Genomic DNA, 22,055 nt, shown 5'->3' with positions numbered 1-22,055 from the left:
CCCCGGGGTCGCAGGCCGCCCAGAGGTTCGAGCCGCGCGCCGGGGTGGGGCAGCGCGGGGCACCGCCTCCCTCCATACCTTCTCTCCCCGTGGAGCACATAGGAGCTGCGGAAGAAGCCCAGGAGCTCATTCTCGATGAGCGCGTTGTAGATAATCTTCAGATTGTAATTCCTCTGCGCGTCCAGTGTCCTATTCAGCACCACCACTAAGACCTGGGTTTGCGGGTAGAGGAAAAAACCGGCTACAGGGACAGCCCCGAACGCCCGGTCCTCGGCCAGCTGCACTTTCTCCACCGCCACTCGGGAAGCGTGCAGCACTACGTAGCGGGTGGCGTTCCGGCACGCGATCTCCACGTTGACCTCCCCGGAGAAGGTGAAGTTCTCCATGAAGGCGGTGAGCATCAGATTGTAGTGCAGCGGCTTCAGGTGGCCCGACAGGCGCAGCTGCGTCCACGGCTCCCACGGCTCCCGCTCCTCCTCCGACGGCGGCTGGGCCGACGTGGTCCCCGGACTGGCCACCCCACCCGCCTCGGGCTGCCAGGAGTCCCCGCCTGCGTGGTGGTTGCGCCGGGCCGATCCAGGGAGGCTCCCGTTGCCGCCGCGCTCCGGAAAGCCTGAGGGGCCACCGTCGGCGCCTGGCGTGGCACTCGCCCCGCACTCGTCGAAGCGCAGGCTGAGCAGCACAGCGAGCATTGTGACCGCGAGCAATGCCACGAGGGACACAGCGAAGGCCAGCACAAGCCGCTTGTGTACGGCGATGTGGCGCTCCGTGGTGCGGGGTCGCACTCCCACTGAGTCTGCCCACGGGTCGGAGAGCCCCCTGCTGCCAGCCCGAAGCGCGGCGTCGTCTTCCCCCATCGCGGCTGCGAAGGGTGAGCTGCTCTTCTCGGCCCCCTCCTCCTCCTCCTCCTCCTCCTTCTTCTTCTTCCTCTTCTTTTTCTTCTTCTTTTTCTTCTCCTCCTCTTGCTCCCCCAGCTCGCCGTCCAGGGCCATCACACCGCCTCCTCCTCCTCCCCCGCCCCCTCTGGCACCCCCCGCGGGCGGGCCACCCGGGCCACAGCCAGAGCAGGCATCGGAGAGCTCACGCGGGCCGAGGGCGCGCGACTGGGGATGCTGGCCCGGGTTCTTTTAAGACGGGTTCTGGACACAAGCGACGGCAGCTTCCGCGACCCCCATCAGCCCCGCCTCACTCTGGACACCGGGCTGTGAGCTCTGGGACGCGCCCAACTTGGAAAGCGTCTTGCTTGCCCAGCGCGCGCTACTTCTCGGACGAGCACCCGGCGGCGGGGCACATGCTGCCCCCGCCCCTGCGCGCCTGCGGCTCCCGGCTCTCCCTCCCCTGCGCCGCGCTCTCGCCTCGCTTTCCGCGGGAGCCTTCCAACCGGTTCTCGGCTAGGGAGAAGGACGGGAGCGGTGGGAAGAGCGAGGGTGTAGAGAGGGAAGTTAGGGCTTTCGCTTTCTCCCCCCACTCCAGCGGCGGCGTTCGGTCCTCTGGGTGGAATGTGCTCGCAGCAGCAGTGACGGCGGCCACAGCACGGGAGGCACCCGAGCCATACACCCTGCAGCTGGAGAGAAAAGGATGGCCGAGGTGGGAGAGACTAGAGTGAACCAGCAGGAGGAAGTCCCAGGGCCGCGAAGCTACGACGGAGATCCGTCCTGGAAAAGCCTTCTCCACCCTGGGCACTTTAAGCGGCGGTGGCGGCAAACGGCAGGAGGTTGCAGACCCGACAGCGAGACTCCCTCATTCCAGTCTTGCTCTGCCCTCCGGAGATGACAAGTGAGAAAGAAGTGTCCGGCCGGGCCATCCCCTTCAGGTAGATGAAGCTCTGGGTTTGCTCCATATCCCAAGGGGGAGAGCCGAAGTGCGTATGTCCGAGCGCGTGTGCATGTGTGTGCGCGTGTGTGCGTGTGTGTATATACACAGGCTTCGGGTTTAGATTGCCAGGGCTACTCCAGCTGCATTGAGGGACTGAAACTCCCAGAGAAAGGCAAAGGAGAGGGAGCGCGCGAGGAGGCAGGAAAGGCGGGAGGGAGGGGAGCGACTGAGCGGCAGAGGCAGGCACTGGGAGATTAGAGAGCTTTTCTCCGCTCTGTCACACCAGACACCCACAGCCACAGAGGGGGTTGCTGAGCCGCCTGCAAGAAGTACATTGTAAATCTTCAGCGCAACAAGCCCCGCAGTCACCCCTCTTCCTGACTCCTTAGCCCCACCGCGCTCCAGGGAGAGATCCTTGGAGCCTTTGGCTATTAACATAGAGAGCAAAAGAAGATCCTGCTAGGGAGATGTGGCTGTGTCAGATTTCACATCAAGCTCGCCAGAGGATTTGGAGGATTGTATGTAAATTGAAATAAATTCTCCAAAACCTGACTACATATATTACATTATACTGTGCGATGTGTCCAGGTGTGCAGTACTAAAATAATGTTAGCAATGAAGCATTAAAATCCTCCGGAAGTAAAGGCCAAAGCAAGGTGATGTTTTCCCCATAGGATAATTCCCATCTTTAGATTGGAGAAACGATTAACACACAATGTCTACAGTGTAACATTCAGGACCAAAACCCTGAGACTGAGAAAAGCTGGGCTTATTAGAACGGTGAACGAATACATTCCATGATTGGTCAGTTTTTCATTTCACCTAGCCATAATTACTTTCTTGCAGCTTTCCAGTGTTACCATGAACATTGTTTTAACTTTGTTAGGATAGTTATCAATAGACCAGTTTGCTGACAGCAGGCAGCATCAAAATAGGTTCATAGCCCATTGGCTGGTTATGGACTCTTGTCTGAGTATATTGGAGTTTAAAATTATACTGCAGAGTATGTATAAGTATGTGGGATATCCAACCTTCAGAATTTGTGCGAAGAACTCTAATTGGAACAATATTCAGAAAACAGCCACCCCAAAGGTGACATCTAGGAAGCAGGAGTCTCCAGTGTTTAGTAAAACAAAGTGTGATTGGCTTCTGGGTTAATTAAAAAAGTGAATAATAGAAAATTAGGTAATTCCTTTTTACATGTTTCTTTCATGTCTTCAAATCTTGAAGGCATTTTACAAATCATGTCCATAGCTATTTTCTTACAAAAAGAACTGGTTAATGCTTCTGGCTTTGGAGTACTGAAAATAGACAATTAAAATATTGTGTTTGGCTTTAAAAGCATGACCAAAGAGAAGAGACCAATTACACATTAACCTTAGCTTGATAACCACTAAAAACACAGCCCTGCTCGAGGAAGCCCTTTTTCATTTATCCCCAGATGGGATACATGCTCAATGCCATGCATTCTAAATGTCCATTTGAATCATTTTTAAATGATGATGAAAATAAGTGCCAGGGTGGGATTTTTTAAGCATGTTGTATGTGGGCCGTTAGCAACAGACCAAGGGAAATGCCACATTCTGTTCAAGTTACTTTTTTCTGCTCTGTTTTTAAATGTCTGTACTCTTGCTGTCCATATGTATCTGGCTGTATGCATTTTAAGAGTTGAGGAGTTGGGGTTCATTGGTTTGTTTTCACAGAATCAGGAACTATAGTGCAAGCAAGTAAGAGGAGCCCTGCGATCCTCAGCAGGTCACCAGACTTCTCTGACTTTAGGGTTTTAAACTGGTAATTTAGTATTACTGATCCAATATCCATGGATTGAGTACATTTGATTATCAGAGGCTTCTGGAATCATCCCGGGGAGTCTAAGACCCACTGCCTAAAGGAAGAGGTTACCCACTAAGGGATCTTTAAGACTTTCTCTTTCTAAAACATTAGTCAAGAAAAGATTCAAAGAAGGCTTTTTCTGTTTGTCTTTTTTTAAAAATGTGTACAAATTTGTGGGATACATGAGAAATTTTGTTACATGCACATAATATGTAGTGATCAAAATCAGGGTATTTAAGGTGTCCATCACCTGAGTACAATACATTTTTGCAAGGTATAGTCACCCTACTGTGCTCTCAAACAGTGAACAGCCAGATTCCTTCTGTCTTGCTGTGTGTTTGTACCCTTTAACCCAGTTCTCTTCATCTTTCCCCTTTCCCTCACTCACGGTTCTCAGTCTGTTATCTCTTTCCTCTCTTTACCTCCATCTGTTCTTCTTTGTATTTCACTAATGTGTTTATGTACTTCTGAAAATTACTACAAGGAAAGTCTCAAATATTTCAGAATTAAATAATACATTTACCAATTAATAAAGTCTCTACTAACTGTGATTAAATTAGTAAATGGATTATTTTTTCAGACCCAAGTGGAGTGGACATAAGATTATTAATATAGAATGGACACAACTTACTAGCTCATGGATTCCCCTTAAATGTAACTTTGCATAATAAAACTTACTATCAAGATCAAGTAGGTAAATATTTCTTCCTTTCATATCAGTGTTACAAAGGTCTTCAGTGAGTTTTATTTTTTTAATTTCTGAAAATATATAGCACGCTTTCCCAAAGAAGCAAGCACTTTAGTAAAATAATTTTTAAATATTATTTTTTCTAGAGAATGTCCATTCTACCTTCAAAGCAAAAGTGGGGGGGTGAAATTTCAGAGTTCGCACCTCACAAAAATAAAGACATAGTTTACTAATATTCCTTTTTAAGGTTGCTTTCAGTGTTATAGGTCACTGGATTCAAGATAGGTTTGATTTTACCAATACTGGGACCATGTGGTGCTGTAAACAAGGAAATTAAACTTCCTAAAGTACCTGATGTTTCTCTCAGAAACATGTTTATTTGTTAGGAGAATTTTATGATTACTTTATTTAGCTAATAAATATCACTAAAGTCATGATGTGGCCATATTTGATTCAGGGGCTTGTAAAAGTAAAAATTGTCTGAATATTTAATATACATGAGGCCAAACAGAAGTTGTTTTTAATAAAATCTACACCTTGGTCCTGAAATGATCAAAATGAACTATCTTCAGTGAATGTATTGGCTCCAGGGTCTTACTATTTGATTGTTTACAATTTAACTGCCTTTTTTGTTTCTTTTCACACTGGTTTGTATATAGAAGCACATAGTTAGGTGTCCTCGGGTACTCAGTCTCTTCACATGTGAGTAAAACCTCATGTCCAGAAACAGCTTGGCTCGGGGGAAAGAACTAGATCCTGATCACCTTCATCTTCCTCTATTGTCCTAACCCAGTACTTAATGGACTCAATTTCTCAATATGTTAGTGTAAAGGAGTTAGATTTGGGGGTATCTTTCAGCTCTGGACTTCTGTGAAAAATATACAGTACAGAAGCTAACATACTACCCTCTTTATGTTCTCAAGAAATATTTAATTAATCTTCTTCATGAGAAGCAAAAAATAATTCAGTTAAAAACTAAAACTTTAATGGGTAAATTTTATAAAAGCACACTGTAGTAGAAAAAGAACAGGGGGAAACAAACAAATCTTACTATTCTGGCAGTCAAAACTAGACTGATGTATCGTATGAGAGGGATATGTTTCTGAAGACCTCCCTCAACTGGAGACCAATATGAAAAAAGAATGGTGAAGTTTCTGTTTAGCAGCTGAAGTGGTGCCGCCATGTGGCAATAGCAAAACAGCAGTTTGAAATTTGAAACTGATCATTTGATGAAATTTTTAATTTGGAGAAATTAACATTACTGCAAAGTTTATTAATATTTTTATACTGCAGACTTTCAAAATTTTACAACATTTGACCCACTGATCTGTTGATGTTGTTGTGGGGTTTCATATAAGAACTACCCTTCCAGACAGAACATTCCTCAAGATCTTGAAGATAAGGAAAGAATTATTTAAAATCAGCTATAATTGAGATGGTGAAATTTCACGATTTCTGTAGTTTGTCCACAACAACTAACACCTTCATTTAACTGTTAGTTGTCTGACTTGTGTATTTAAAAGGATTAATCTCAATGGAATTTACATCTAAATTTGATTATATCTTTTTACCTCATAAAAACCTGTGAAACCATGAATTTGTTTTTATCTTTTTTCATTTTTTATTTTTACTTTTTATTACACATATTTTTTTAGAGATTAGGTCTCACTCTGTCGCCCAGGCTGGAGTGCAATGGTGTGATAAGAGCTCATTGCAGCCTCATACTTGAAGTTGTTTTTAATAGAAATATTTCCTAACCTATTAATATTATACTATGTGTTTTTAGTCCCAGAAAAGTCTCATGATTATGTTTATACCAAGCTAGAACAAGCCTCACAGCATAAAATGGATATCTGTAAAGAGCAAATGTAAGGAAAAGAATGACCAAATAATTCAAGTGTCATTTCCAATTTTAGCATTACATGTTATATCCAAAGAGAGAATTAGTATCTCAAGAAAGTTATATCTTTATTTGAGGGGTTCTCATGCTAGGTTAAAACTTTTTAGCGTTCACTCTAGGCTCTTTGGTTTATGACTTCTATAAGAAAGCTCTATAAAAAGTCAAAGTATAGATCATGGAAATGTTTACAATTTATTCATGAAACCTGCAAACATAATATAGACCAAAGTCTACAAACAATAGAAATTAACTCTTGTTCCAGAAATGTTTCCGTTAAACTAGTTAATTTGTCTAGTCACTCAAGAAATGGAAATAGTGAATATACTCCTATAATTGTTACCATGAACTTAAATTGCTCAAATCCATGTTTCCAGATAAATATGGCAGGAAGAATTAATGAAAATAATAATAATAGCTAAGATTCTTCAAGGGCTTAACTTGTACCAAGTATTTGTCTAAGCATTTTATGCTGTCTTATGTAATCATGAAAATCACCACCTTCAGGTCAATGCTATTATTTCCTCCACTTGACAAATCAAGAAACTGAAGCTGAAAAAGATTAAATATCTTGGCCAGAGTCATTTAATTAGTAGATGGCAGAGTTGGAATTCAAAGCCACGCAGGTCATTTCATCACCTTTATACTTAACCTTTATGTCATACTACTTCCTGAAAGGTAAGCCAAATATAAACTATCCAATTGCATAATGAATACTTGCTACATAAATTATGAAGTCAGTGCCAGGCACTGTGCTAGGGATATAGCACTGAAGCAAACATGCCTGGTCTATACTCTCCTTGGAGAGGACAGTGCCTAGCACATGGTAAGTGCTACGTGTTTGTTAATAAATGAATAGAGAATAATCTAGTATGACCCTGAACAAAGAAATAATTATAATTTTGTAAGATAATGATAAAAAGAAAACCTGACAACATTATTATTCCTGGACTGAGAACTAAGTAATTGAAAGAGTTGACTATAGCTTATTTTCATACTGCAGAATAAGCAGTTTACATGCTTTAGGAATCTACCTCTTCAATGCATCCAAAAATATATATTTAACCCAGGCTTATTTGACAGCGCAAATTTACATAATTTGAATGGTGCCTCACCTCTCAAACCATGAAAAATATCTGCTTCAAAGGCGCAATAGATAAATATTAATGTAAAGTCACACAGACATAAAATATCCTGCTTTATTTCATCCACATGTATCTTCTAGTCCATATATGTTTTTCTGTCTTCCAATCATTTATTCCCCATTCTTTCATTTAATAATAAAATATTGTTTATCACTTAAAAACTTCGCTTACTACAGATAGATTCTGCTTAATACATAAATGTTTATCAATATAGCTGTTTAAATGAGGTAATTACAGTATTTTCTTGAATCTGAATAACAAGTGATTATTATAAATGGGCTGATGAAGAGACATTGGAAGAAATATGGTGAAATTTTTCTTTTAGATAATGAAATATCGCTAGTATTGAGGTCATATCGCTGTATGTAAATTTTAAAAGCTAATTTTGAACTACAGTGTTTTCTTATTTTTAATGATATGTAACATAATATAAAATATATATAGTTTTGCCAAGTGAGGATTCTGGTCAAAGATACAGTCATGTTGACATGAGAAACACACCTTCTGTTAGAGACTAGATCACAATATGTGTATATATAACAAATATACAACAATAATTATAATTGTTTTATTTTAAAACCTCACTGAATTCCTACTTTCAAACTATGGAAAAAGATGTATTCTGATTTTTTTCTTCAGGTACTAGATCTGTACATAAATAATATATTTTCTTAATCGTGAACTGAAAAATAGCTCTTTTTTTCTGGGGGGGTGGGGTTCATGCCTTTTCCTTGCTTATATACAGAGATGTTTGCTAGAAAATTACCAGTTTCTTCCACCACATGACACTATAAGAATCCTCCATACCTCTTTAATTTCAGGGTTACACACCAAGGCTACACCAACATACCATTTTTTCTCTCTCTGTACATGTTTTTCTGAGAGTATTGTCCCATTCACATCCCTATACAGGCTCAGAAGTTACTCTCCAAGTGCCTTGAAAGTTAGGTGAAAAATATATTTGGGGATCCAAGAATTATTCTTGAAGTTCAAACAATTAGACTTTGGCTAAAATGGCTTTTTCTTGATCATTAAAAAATTTATTTGTATGCTATAATTACAAATATTAAAATCTAAATATGTTAGTATGCTTTGTATTATAAAGTTAAATATGTTGGGTCTTTTTTTTTTACATTTGTATTAACAACATTAAGCACTAGGCACTATAGAAAAGATAAAAGAGAAACAGAGTTTACAATCAAATAATAATCATGGAGTCTGTATCTACAAAGAGAAATAACTTTCCCACAAAATAACTACACAAAAAATTCAATTATTAACTCTTGAAAATAACCAGCTGCTTGATTGAATGAAACTTTTGGCTCTAGAACAGTCTCTATTAAAAAAAAAAACAATGAACCTAAAGATAACTGTTTTGAGTTATCGGCATATTAAAATTTGGTATCATTTTATGAAATAGATTTAATTCTTATAATACAGTTGATTTAATATCTAACTTGCCTGTGATCTTTACTTTTGTCACTTTTCTCTTTAGTGCCACCTTGTGGGTCAGCCAGTAACAATACATATATAGGGTCTGGAGGGTTTTTTGGTTTTTAACTCAGCTTGTATTAAAGCTAGACTTACAAAGAAATGTGATAATTCACATATGAGACAATTTTGTTTGTTTTCTCAGAGAAGCAACCACTTCACAAGAAGATTCTGAAGTTGGCCATTTTTGATCCCAGAACAGTTTCTCATAGATTAGAAATATTGGAGTCTACACAAAAATCGATATTCATTTACAAGATCATCACTAAACTTATCTTGCATAACGTAAGTGGCAAGCTCTGACTTGTGATTTTTTCATAAGAAAAATGTTTTTTAACTTAGTATCATTTCTACAACAATGTCCCATGATAATTGATTCTAGGTGATTTGAAACACTGCTTAGTCCTGTTTTAGAAAAAGCTCCCATATCTGATTTAGTCTCATATGCAGCTTACTTCTAACATCAGATTGAATTTGCATTGAGTTACCTTACTCGGTTTATTTTTTAATTATGTTGCAGTTACAAGGGAATAAGGAAAAGTCAGTATAGTGCATTGAAATGTCTTTTTTAATTGAGACACACAAGAAATGTGTTATAGGTTCCCAAACATTCTTCATGTATTAGAGATGTTATAATAATCTTTTGAATAGCCAAGTGAAAAGGAATGGTTTCACCTGAACATGTTAGAATTTATTGCTACATTTTTTGTGTGTTGTGGTGGAGAAATAAATTTTTAAATCGCATTTATGGAGTCATTTCAGAACAAGTAGAAAACATGTAATCTGGTCACTTTGAATGTGTAAGTGTTTGTATCTGAACTCCTCCTGCCCTATTAAGAGTGGAAGGTTGTACTATATGTTACTCAAAAAGTAATTTTCCCCGGATATGCAATAAGACCTCAGATTTGACCTATAAGCTGAATGTCATAAGCTATCCATTAGCTATGCTGGAAGCACACCACCAACAACAAAAAAGTTTTAAGTATTTTTATAGGCTTGCTAAAATCTGATTATAGAACCAAGGCAGTCAAATACCATGAGTAAGACTGCAGAAACCCTAGAATTTAACTCCCTAGTTATTCTTAATGAGTGAATCCTGTGCTTTGTGTCTAAAAGCAATGTATTGTGCTTTCCAATTCAGGAAATGCATTTTAATTGCTATACTCATTGATACATCAATCTGTCCATGACATTCTGACATATATCCAGTTTCCTATGGATTCGGTATAGGAGCAAATTAAAAGATGCACTAGAATGGTAACATTTAATCTATAATCCTCCATTTAACCTTTATGTGGCTGTCACAGAACAAGTCCTGTTTTTAGAGTTGAACCAAAAAACAAACAAAACAAAACAAAACAAAACAAAACATGCACACACACTAGAGAAACGGCTTTTTTTTTTTTAACCTGGGGACCATGAAAAAGTTTTGACCATTCCCCGACCCCCATGCTTCAACTTTAGCTTTGATAGTTAAAGTATGTCTTCCTTCAGTTTAAGTTGAACAAACTTCTGCATAAGACCCTCCAGAAAACCTCTGAACACATACAGTTTTGGGGGCAATGGGGACTGAACTATGTACAAATAGGTGATACTTCAGCACACAATTCCTGGGATAAATTTTATCCTCTTCTCATTTTTATTTTTATGAACTATATGGGGTTTTTTAAACAAGTTACAAGAAGCAAAACACATTTTACCTTTACTCTGTTACATATTTCAAATTAAGCAGATCCTAATTAATTGGGTTACATTATGTAACAATAGCCTTTTTAATATCAAATGGTTTTTATGATCTGTCTTCAATTTTTCTTAAAATGAGACTGCACTAAAGATTTTCTTGACATTTCTGAGAATTTCATTTTCAGTTTCAAAAAATTATTTATTCCTTTAATCTTTCAATGTGGAAAAGTAATGAATATTGATTCATTTTTAGAAGCGCTAACATCCAACTAGGTAAACTTCATGAGTGATGGCTATTAATGTTCTCTTTCATCTTATAGACAGAAAATCAAAGCTATTTAAAGTAAAGGATTTGTTTCAAATCAATGTATGTCCACAAATTAACATTAATGTTTACAATACTTTCTGTGATAATTGTGTCTTACTTGGGTGTATATATGTCTTTATATCTATCTGTAAAGATATAGTTGCAAGTAGATGAGAGACGAATGTTCATGTTTCTATATGGTCTGAATAAAAGTGTTATCACTATGCTAACTTGCAGTGTTATAAAATGCACCAATGGCTCTTTGTGCCACTCCTTCATTTTCAGTGGTTACCAAGATAGTCAAATTAAACTGCTGATGTGATAATCATCCAAACATTTAATTTTAACACTATGATTATAGAATTTTTTTATTTCTATGAGATTTACCTATAGTAGCTTTCTGTTTAATGTTCAATGTTCTATAGGAGTTTCCTTTTAAATGTTCAGAGCAGGAGCTATACCCTCTAGGATATGCAAATAATCAAGTCTTAGCGACCTTATAAAATATAATCCACATTATGAATCAAACAGAATGAGCCTTCAGATCTGATTGCCTAAGGCTCAAAATGTTAATGCTCCTGAAATGCCTTGTACATATTAGCTAGTTGAAATTGCATTAAAACAAGAGAACGAATTGTAGTCTTGACCTCAGTCTCATTTCACCAGCCTTTGCCTGCTACTGCCAACCTGAGAGGGGAGCTTCTGCTCTGCAGATGGATGGACAGCTGCTGATCTTCACCTCCTGTCTGTTCCCACAATTCTAAAAGAATTAGGCCTGAGGAACTTAATCTTCTGGTGTTCCATTGTGAACTGACTTTATTAAATTTTTTCCAAAGTTCAGTGTTCTTCAGTTCTTTCTCAGAGTACAAATTGAAGAGACACAGAGCCAGTTCCAAATGAACTGAAATTGTTTTGTAAAAAATTAATTCAAACAATAATGCCATGGAAAAGCACTTTGAATTTTTCAATTCCCAGGCTATTGATTCTAAAAAAGAAACAATTCTAAATTATCCACATGTTCTCATTTATTAGTCTAGAGCTCTTGCCCAAAGAATTATTTGCCAAGGTAATATATAGAACATCAGGATGATTTACTTGCTTTTCTAATACCATTTTGCCCACAAACTCTATGGAACTGAAAGCATGTCAGCAGCAAAAGAAGGTCCACTAGCAGCTATAAAAGAGAGCTTACTAATGAACAATAAATATCTAAAAGTAAAGGGAAAGGAGCCAAATTCCATTTTCAAAAGCCAAAATTCTGCAGTAGGTAAATATCACAGATAGCATTGCTTATTATTTATAATCACTACTAAGAGTAATCTATCATTTCTTTAAATCCTCAAAATAGGTCTCTGCCAGCCACATTAACTGCCTGCAGAAAAGTTTGTTATGACTGCCTGGTTTTGTAAAGTCCAGACAACTTTACACTAAGCTGAATAATGTTCATTTACTCAAAAGCTAGTCTAAAATTGTAGAGTTAATGAACACTAAACCAAAGTTAGTGCTTTAACTGAAAGATAATTTACTGTACCCTTTGGAGTCCAGTCCGGTACCATCAAGATCTGGGAAAATACAACTGGTAAGCACTTTAACTTTTTCTCAGAAAATCATTATCTACTTCCTTCATACTTACTTAACATCTCAAGAAAAGGAAAGAAAGGGGGAAAATATCTAAAATTTTAATCTAAATCTTTCTTAAACTGTGCATTTCAAATACATAAAATACTGTGTGAAAGGGTGTTAAAAGTAGTATCTAGAAATGGCTTCCAACTCTATAACTTGGTGTAAGCCTTGTGGAAAGTAATTTACCAACGACTGTCAAAATTCACAAATCTAAAGACTGTAGCAAGACTCTTGAGATACCTTGTAACTATTGGCATGATTCCTTTCTACTACAATGAAAGTTTCTTCAGGGCAGGAAACACATATATTCATTTCTGTATCCACAGAGTAAGCAAAGATTCTGGGACATACTGTCCTTCATACGCGTATTTCGAATGAACGAAGGCTCCATTTGGTAGTATTTATCATCAGCTTCTTGGCCCTTACTACTCCCTTCTTTCATTTAAAGCTTATGTCTTATGTCCTCTTCCCTGCCCAGCACTCTTTTTGGCTGTATGCCTGATAAGGGTGCTCTTCAGCTTGGCCTCCTTTGACTCTATTCCTTCCCTGTTCTACTTTTAGAGTCTCAATAAACTCTTGTTTCTTATAGTGGAAAAATGCATTTATAAATCAAGACTGGGCATTAAATTTGCTCACTGCTGCTCAGGCATTGTTGCTCCCGTGTCCAGTTGCTCCCAGTGAGCCACTCTATTGGAGTTGGTCCCACAGTCAAGACCCTACTTTTCCCTAGCTCTAGCCTAGAAACTTGTCACCAGAGCATTAATCTACATTTTAGAGAGGATTACCTACCAAAAAAAAGTATCATTTTTCCTGAATAAGTAATATGTTCTAGAATCAGTGTGTGATCCTCTCAGCTTCCTTTTTGGAAACCAAATGATGGTTCTCCTGGAGAAAGAATTTGAGTAGATGTTGAAACAATTTAGGCTATACAATAGAGTCCTACTTGATAGAAGAGTTAGATTTTGAAATCAGCATATAAGGTAAGAAGCACCTAATGTCAAATTTGCACTTGAAAAAAATTCCTAAACTGTGCACACATTGCAGTAAACCATGATTTTGTGGATCCCTTCCTATACAGCAACGTGCATATATAGATGTGCATAGAAAGTATGTGCCATCTTACAATATTTTCAGTATTTTAATTAAGTTGAATTTAAATAAATAAAATACTCACATGCTATAACTCTGCTGTTTTAAGAACACTGTTACCAATTCACTACATTTACATGATGCCTAAATAGCCAGCCAATGCAGAAAGGTCAGTTAGAAAATGAGGCCAGTGCTTGCCTCTCTTTCTTTCCATTGAAAGGGTGTTACTGAGTGTCAGGGTCCACACAAAGCGGGAGCTAGAGTGGGCATGAAGGCAGTTTGATGGGAGTCAGGGTCTATAGAGGGAGGGCTGCTGAGCAGGGCAGAGGCCTGGTAGAATCAGATGCTTGGCTCCACACAGGGAGTCCACTTTCCTAATGCTGGAGAAGGTACAAACATGGAAAGAGGAAAAGTTGAGATGAATGATGTGTTATTAGATTGGAATTGGAAGAGTGGATATATAAATATATATGACATGTAAATAAACATGGATTTAAGTGTGTGTCTGTATGTATCCATTGAAGGGACCTGGGAGCAACAATGCCTGAGCAGCAATGAGCAAGTTTAATGCCCAGTCTTGATTTCTAAATGCTTTCCACTATAAGAAACAAGAGTTTATTGAGACTCTGAAAGCAGAACAGGGGAAGAATAAGGAGCTTTGAACATGTTGGGCCAGAAGGTAAGAAAGTTCTCAGAAAAACAATGAGAACATGACCAAAGGATCCAGGAGCCACCTTGAAGGAGCTCCTACTGACCAAATCTGGAACAACTTAAGCATATAAATAAGTAATGAGAGTAGTGGATTATAATCCACTGCATAAAGAGGAACCCATGAATCCACAATTATATAGTAAGTAAATAGATAAATGGGAAGAAAATAAATGGGTAAGAGATTATTTCTTAAATTAGAATGCCAAGTAATAAATACAAAAGGAATTCAAGCAAGACATCAATAAATACTAAAATTAGTGGATGAAAGTGAGATGAGAAACAGAATTTTACAGAGTTTCAAAGTATCTTTCTACAAAATGTTTAATTACAAAGGGAGAAAAAGTTAACATTATAGTGGAGAAACCTAACAGACACTATCTGATGAAGTGATCAAAGTTAACACTCCCAGTAATTGGAAAAATCAGTATCATATGTCACCTAATCAAATGCAATGAGAAAAACACAACATCACTTCTCTAAAATTTATAACCTGGTTATAATCAAGAGGAAACATTGGACAACAGAAATTTGGAGAACTTCTATTGAATAACTGACCTTGGAAAATGTCAAGGCCATGAAAGTCAAGTAGAGATTGCAGAACTCATTCAGACTAAAAGGAGATAGAGAGACATGGCAGACAATGGAGTGTAACGTCTTCTCCTGAACTGGACCTTTTTACTATAAAGACATGAGAACAACTGGCAAAACTTGAATCGGGTCTCTGGGAGAAGTATATTCAGGAGTCCACCATACTGTTCATGCAAATTTATTAAATTCATTCATGTAAATTTTCTGTAAGTTTGAAAATGAAAAAATAAAACCCACTTTATTCTTATTAATTCTTTTTTTAGGCTCTCACTGTGCAGCTCTAAAGTTATATAAGCCAAGAAAGGGACATTAATGGGAAATTAATGACAGCATCAATAAAATGGAAAAGAAGATGAACTAATTACATAACATCAACCAATCAGTTTTTTCAAAACAGGTTTTACTGTTTGGGGTTTGTCTACTCTGTTGGCATCCTGTAGGCACCAGCTTTGCCTATTCACATTTTCCTTTCACGTAGCTTGTGTACCCATTTTAAACACAGCAAAAGATACTTTGAGAATACCTTCTGCACTACTTTTATCTTTTATTTTCTTTCCTTTTCTTCTTACCTTCCTTCCTACTCTCCTTTATTTTTGGAAGCTGCATTCACCCTACTGGAAGAACCTATTCTGAACATAAAGTAATTTGCCTCATCCTGCTTATCCCCATGACAAATAGTTTAAGTAGCATCTGGTGAGACAAGAGAAAAGAGTAACTATACATTTACCCTTCTGCACCCTCATCTTCTACCCAGCTGTCTCTCCTCCCTTTTCCTCTTTATCAATATTTTCCCCTTCTTTGGACCAACTATTTAAACTGTTCTTAAAATTTATTAAATAGAAGTGGACCTCCAGCAATTTTTCTTGCTCCTATAATCTAAAGTATTCAAACTCCTCACTTGAAACATGAAAGAAAATCAGGATGTAAACGTTCCCCTTTTTAAACTTTTTTATTTTCTAAACCATCTTCCTCTGCATAAAGTCAGTCTGCCACTCTAAACAGCACTTGTCAGGAATGTGTGAAGTTATTAAAAGAGAAGGAACTTTAGAAGATCTAAATTCAAATTACCTTGACTACCATTCTTTAGTAATAAAAGGGGAGATAGAAAGAAGACAGAAACCACCAGATTTTCTAAAATCTCCAGCAATATTCATCCATCTAAAGCATCTGAGAAACAATGACCCAAGTTATATTGGGAGAGATATTTTAGCTCTCTTGCCTGAATCTAACTCACAGAAACTGGGGAAATATCAAAAATCACTTATTCTAAATGTTTCGGTCAAGAAGTGTTTTGGATTTCAGATTTTGGAATATTTGCATATACATAGTGAGATATCTTAGGGGTGGGACCCAAGTCTAAACACAAAATTCATTTATGTTTTATATGCCCTTTAAACACCATAGCCTGAAGTTAATTTAATATAATATTTTTAATAGTTTTGTGCATGAAACAAAGTTTTGACTGTTTGACTGTAACCCATTACCTAAAGTCAGGTGTGGAATTTTCCACTTGTTACCTGGAGTGCATCATGTTGGCATTGAAATAGTTTTGGATTTTGGAGCATCGGATTTCAGATTTTTGGATTAAGGATGTTCAACCTGTATTAGATAGCCTGGTGCTTTTCTCCTCATAATCACTCCAATAATAATGAAAGGATAATCATAAAGATGACAACAATTACAACAAAGATGATAAAAAAAATTAAGCCACTTGGCAACACTATTTGTGGCCTCATGAAAATGACTCCCAATGTCATAATTCCCTCTGAGATCCCCACAATAAAAAACTATTGGAACTAGAACTGCATACCGCAGTTATTGGTCATTTCACATGGTGCCATGTTCAGGCATAGCTGGTATGAGTGCTATTTGCTTTCATCCAGGGGAGCCATTCTCAGTAAGCTTCATCTCTGTGCTGATGAGAGCCTGGGTCTGTTCTTCTAGCCCAGGATCTTCACATCTCTCAAAGGACTGCAGCTCTCCTTAGATATTCTGTGTACCACAGGAAGGGGCTGTACCAATTTACAGCAATCTCTTTTCAACATGGTAACTAATGCAAGTATTAGACCACAAGGCTTCTCTTTGGAAACTTGTCCAAAGGCTGTCATCTCTGCTATTCATTCATTCATTCATTTAGTCAACAAATATTTATTAAGCAACAAACGTGTGCAAGGCACTGTTCTTGGCATAGTGAACAAAACAGATTAAAATTCTGATCTTGTGGAACTTGCATTCTAATAAGGGAGACAATTTTTTTTTAAAATGAAGTAAAATAGATAGGGCGATAGGGAGTGCTGGGCCCAGGAAGAAAGGGTTACAATACTAAATATGATAGTTAGGGAAGCCCTCAAATTTGAACAAGGATCTGCAGGAAGTGAAGTATGTTGATATCTGGGGAAGAGGGAACAACAAAAGCAAAGGAATTGATACAGGAATGTTGCTGGTGTCTGAGATATGGCAAGCAGGTCTGGGTGGCCAGAGAGGAGTAAAGTAGGAAAAAAGGAAAAGTAGGTGGGGTTGGAAAAATAATGGGGAGCCAAGACTGGGTAAGGTTTTGTAGGCTATTGTAAGTACTTAGACTTCTACTAAGTGATGGAAAGCAACTGATAAAAGTTGACTTTCAATTGGAAAGAGCCATGAAAGTTGATGGATGGTCAACTTTTGACCTGAGGAATGACATGACCTATTGTAGGTTTTAGAAAAGTCCTTCCGGTAGATTTAATGAACATTCACTGAAAGATAAAAAAGAGGGTAATTGAAATAATCCATGCAAGAGATGATTGTAGCTTGGATAAGGATGGTAGTAGAGGGGTGGTGAGAAGTGGTAAGAGTTTTGCTGAAGGATTATACATGGGTTGTAGGTAAGAAACCTCAAGGTTGATACCAGGATGTTTGATCTGAGCAGCTAGATGGATGAAGTTGACATTTATCGCAGGACAGTTCCCTGAATGGCCCTGGACCCACCCAGTTCTCCCCCTTTCTTGTTTACAGTTACCAAGAATAACTGTAAAATGTGCTGGGAATGCAATGTCCTGAGATAAGGAAGAACTGCCTGAAACAGCCTGGATCTTATTCCTGTACTTCCTAGGGAATGTAACATCTCAAGTTAAAGAGGAACTGCCCGGAACAGCCCGGGGATTGTTCCTCTCTCCTGAGAAGGAAGATTACCTCCAAAGCTCATCCACTGAGTCACACTGCCCCTGTGGTGGAGGGCGGGCTGCCTTTCCAGGTTCCTCAGCTGTGGTGTAACTGAAGCAGGCACAATCAAGACTCCATCTGCTCGAGGCAGCTTTCTCGAACCTTGGGGAACCTACTCACAATGGATCACAGGCTTCTTTTGTTTTGTTTCTTGCTGCCTATCTGTAAGTAATTAACTTGCTTCATGTAACGTGTTGCATATGAGTGTGTTCTGTCTCATAGACTCAGGGAATTGGTAACACTGCAGCTGAGGACGCAGTGGACAGAAGTGTTCAGACTCCTGTTCCTTGTGGTTGACACAGTGATGATGATCTCTTCTGTCCTCCACAGAGTGGAAGTCCTCTCTTGGGATTGGTTATTGGTGAAACCACTTCGCAATTTATTAAGATGGCAAAAGCTTACGGAGGGACAGATTTGAGGGGAAGATCAAGATTTTTCTGTCAGTATTGCAAATAGTCAAGAATATGTGGTCCAAGAAGTGATCATTATCTTTGGCATTGTGCAAGTCATTAGTGACCTTCACATGAACAGTCTCAGTGGAGTGTTGGAGGAAAAAGCCTAACTGAAGAAGGTTCAAGAGTGAATGGAAAAAGAGCAGTAGTATGTGGAGAGTACAGACAAGTATTTCCAGGAGCCTTTCTGTAAAGAGTGGTAGAGAATGGGACATCATTTTTGGATGGGGGAAGAGTTATTTATAGCATGTTCATATGCTAATGGAAGTGATCTACTCATGGGGAAAATCTTGATGATGCAAGAAAGAAAGGGATTTGTTGGAATCTTGTCCTATAACGGGTGAGAGGGGATGGGTTCTAGAAGAAAAGGCATGGGTCTTTGTTTGAGATCAGGCAATTCATCTGTAGGAACCAGTAGGAAGATGGTTAAGTGGGTACCTGTGGTAGTGGATGTTTGTGAACATTCTTTTCTTTTCCATTGTTTCTATTTTCTCAATAAAGTGGGAAGCAAAAATCAGCTGAGTGAAGATGAGGAAGAAGGTGTTAAAGGTTTGAAGAAAAAAGGAAAAGGATATACTAATCTAAGAGGACAAGTAAGTAGAACATAGATAATGAAAATGCTGGCCCTTAGGACTGTTGGGCCTAAATGCTCATATTATATTGGTAGTCACAAATTTGAACTTTCTCTAGAGCCAATTTTTGCATGTGTGTGCAGGCCTGGAGTAGTTGGAGAGTTGGATTTAATAGAATTGAGGGTCAAGCAACTACAACCAGGGAAGAGTGGGACAAGGGAGATAAAGGATATTGGCAGGGGAGCAATTATAAACATGGACCATGATCAAAACTGGACAGGAAGGAAAATAGAGATAAGAGGGGTGGAAGGTTAAAAATAGTGAAAATGAGATAGAATGAATAGGTTGTAGGTCCCTGTAAAGTTGAAGAAGTATTATTATGCAGTACTCGTTATTGAAATGAGGTCACTATGCTTAAGGCACAGTGAATCCTAGAAAATAGTGGTTTTGTTTCTCATTAGGCAATACATTCCTCCTTGCTCCAGAATGCAACATACATGTATCCTTTTCTGTACTATTTTTTATTAAGAATTCATACTTAATTCCACTGACTGCCACTCAATTTTAATGTACAGTAGGGAATTCCTGTACTATGTATTATGAATCCATTCCTTTGAATTTCATTTATAATACTTCATGACTGACACCTGGCTTTCCACCAAGACTCAATTTTCATAGCAAGCCTCATCATCATAAGCCCCCAAATTAACAGGATGAGGAGGAAGAATTGGCAGGCTAAAGAAGATGATTATATCAATTAATGCAGAAAAAGCATTTGATAAAATCCAATATTCATTTGTAATTAAAAACTCTCAGCAAGTTAGGGATAGGAATTACTTCAACTTAATGAAGAGTGTCTTTAAAAACCTTATTTTCATCAGTTATAACAAATGTACCACTCTGGTGGTGAATGTTGCTAAGGAGGGAAGCTATACATGTGTGGGGAAAGGAGATGTGTGAGCAATTTCTGTACCTTCTACTCAATCTTCTGTGAGACTAAAATTGCTGTAAAAAATAAAGTTCATTTTTTTAAAAACCTACAGCTGTCATTCTTAATGCTGAAAGACAGAATGCTTTTCTCTAAGATAGGGAACAAGGCAAAGATTCAGTTCTCACCACTCCTATTCAACACAGCACTACAAGTTCTAGCCACTGAAATGGGGGTTGGGGGGAAGCAGAAGAAGAAAAGAAATAAAATGTATACAGTTTCAAAAGGAAGAATTAAAATAGTCCCTGTGTGCAGATGACATGATTGTCTATTTAGTAAACCCATGGATTATACAAAAATAAAATTCCGAGAACTTAAAAAGTGATTTCAGCAAGATCACAGGATATAAGATCGAGATGAAAACCAATGTCATTTCTATATACAGTAAGTCCTCTCTCTTAATATCATCAATAGGTTCTTGGAAACTGACTTTAAGCAAAACAACATAAAACTAAACCCAATTTTTCATCATCAAAGTTATAACAAAATGATGTTGAACAAAACTACATTATTTCAGGACCTGCCATACATCATGTCACTTAAAATTACAGTTTCTAAGAACCTACCAATGGCATTATGTGAGAATTACTGTAGTAACAATAAACGTATGAAAACCAAAATTAAAACACATTTACAATCAACCCAAGGAAAATGAAATATTGAGGTATAAACTTAATGTTTTATGAGGCAACTTAATGAGGCAAAAAAATGTATACTATCTGATGCTGAAAATTGCAAATGCTGATGAAAGAAATCAGTGATGACAAATAAACAGAGAGACATACTATAGTCACAAATTGGAAGACTCAACATAGTAAAAATGTCAATTTGCCTCAAAGTAATCTGTAGGTATAAGACAATTATCAAAATTCAGGGAAGTTTTTTGTAGGCATTGGCTAGCCTATTCTAAAATTTATATGAAAAGCACAAACCTTAGAATATCTAAGATAATCTGAAAAGAAGAATAAAGTGAGAGGAATCACTCTACCTGATATTAAGCTTTATAATACAGTAACAGTACTCAAGACTGTGTGGTATTTGCCAAGGCATGGACTCAGATCAATGGAACAGAAGAGAAAACACAGGAATAGACCCATATAAACATTTCCAACTGATTGTTTTCCAATCGATTTGTGACAAAAGTGCAGAAGTAATTCAGTGAAGGAAGGATAGCCTTGCAACAAGTTGTGCTGAAGCAGTGAGCACCCATAGGCAAAAAGAAAAAGAGAACATCAACCTTAACCTCACATCTTATACAAAAATTAATCCAAAATTGATAATAGACTTAAATGTAAAATATAAAACATTTCACAAAAATAGAAGAAAGTCTTCAGGATCTAGGACTAGGCAAATAATTCTTAAATGATATCAAAAGCATAATTCATAAAGGGAAAAGTTGATAAATTAGACCTCATTAAAATTAAAAACTTATGGAAAATGTGCTGTTAAGAGGATAAAAAATATAAGCTACAGACTGAAAGAAAATATTTGCAAGCCACATAACTGACAAAGGACTAGTATCTAGAATATATAAAGAATTTTCAATACTCAGTTGTAAAAACAAAATAATTCAACCAGAAAATTGATATGAGCAAACATGTCACTGAAGAGGATGTACAGATGGCAAAAATGCATGTAAAAAGATTTCAACTTCATAAACCGTTAGGGAAATGTGAATTAAGCAACCAATCAGAATGGTTAAAATGTTTAAAAAATAGTAACACCACCAAATATTGGCAAGGATATAAAGGAATCGAATCACTCATGCATTGCTAGTAAAAAATGTAAAGAGGTACAGCCACACTGGGAAACCTTTTCATGGTTTTCTAAAAACTAAGCATGGAGTTACCATACATCCCAGCAGTTCTACTCATCAGCATTTATCCCAGAGAAATAAAAATTTATGTTTACACTAAAACCTATATATGAATGTTCATAATAGCATTTTTCATAGTAGCCAAAAATTGGAACCGTC

General features: G+C 38.0%; 1 protein-coding gene and 1 long non-coding RNA gene across 6 annotated transcripts in view; one reads left to right on the top strand and one right to left on the bottom strand.

Moving 5' to 3' along the window:
* TRHDE (thyrotropin releasing hormone degrading enzyme) overlaps nucleotides 1–22,055 on the bottom strand; it is a 583,493-nt gene that overhangs the window by 397,123 nt on the left and 164,315 nt on the right. For 3 of the 4 annotated variants that reach the window (NM_013381.3, XM_017019243.3, XM_005268819.6), the window contains exon 1: nucleotides 79–1,266. The exons of the other annotated variant lie outside the window; for it this stretch is intronic. In NM_013381.3, the coding sequence (NP_037513.2) occupies nucleotides 79–992 (914 nt within the window). In that variant the 5' untranslated portion in view covers nucleotides 993–1,266. Of the gene's footprint in view, nucleotides 1–78; nucleotides 1,267–22,055 lie in introns of those variants that run through there. 4 annotated transcript variants of the gene reach the window in all.
* On the top strand, nucleotides 127–20,129 carry TRHDE-AS1 (TRHDE antisense RNA 1). 2 transcript variants are annotated; one of them, NR_026836.1, is made up of 3 exons: nucleotides 127–871; nucleotides 1,474–1,813; nucleotides 9,015–11,089. It is a non-coding gene; the product is annotated as a TRHDE antisense RNA 1 (long non-coding RNA). The 2 variants fall into 2 exon arrangements; NR_026837.1 differs by lacking the exon at nucleotides 9,015–11,089 and adding an exon at nucleotides 17,862–20,129 and having other exon boundaries at nucleotides 127–1,813.

Source organism: Homo sapiens, chromosome 12, assembly GCF_000001405.40.
Source record: "Homo sapiens chromosome 12, GRCh38.p14 Primary Assembly".
Classification (NCBI taxonomy): Eukaryota; Metazoa; Chordata; class Mammalia; order Primates; family Hominidae; genus Homo; species Homo sapiens.
This window is presented reverse-complemented; position numbering and strand designations above follow the sequence as displayed.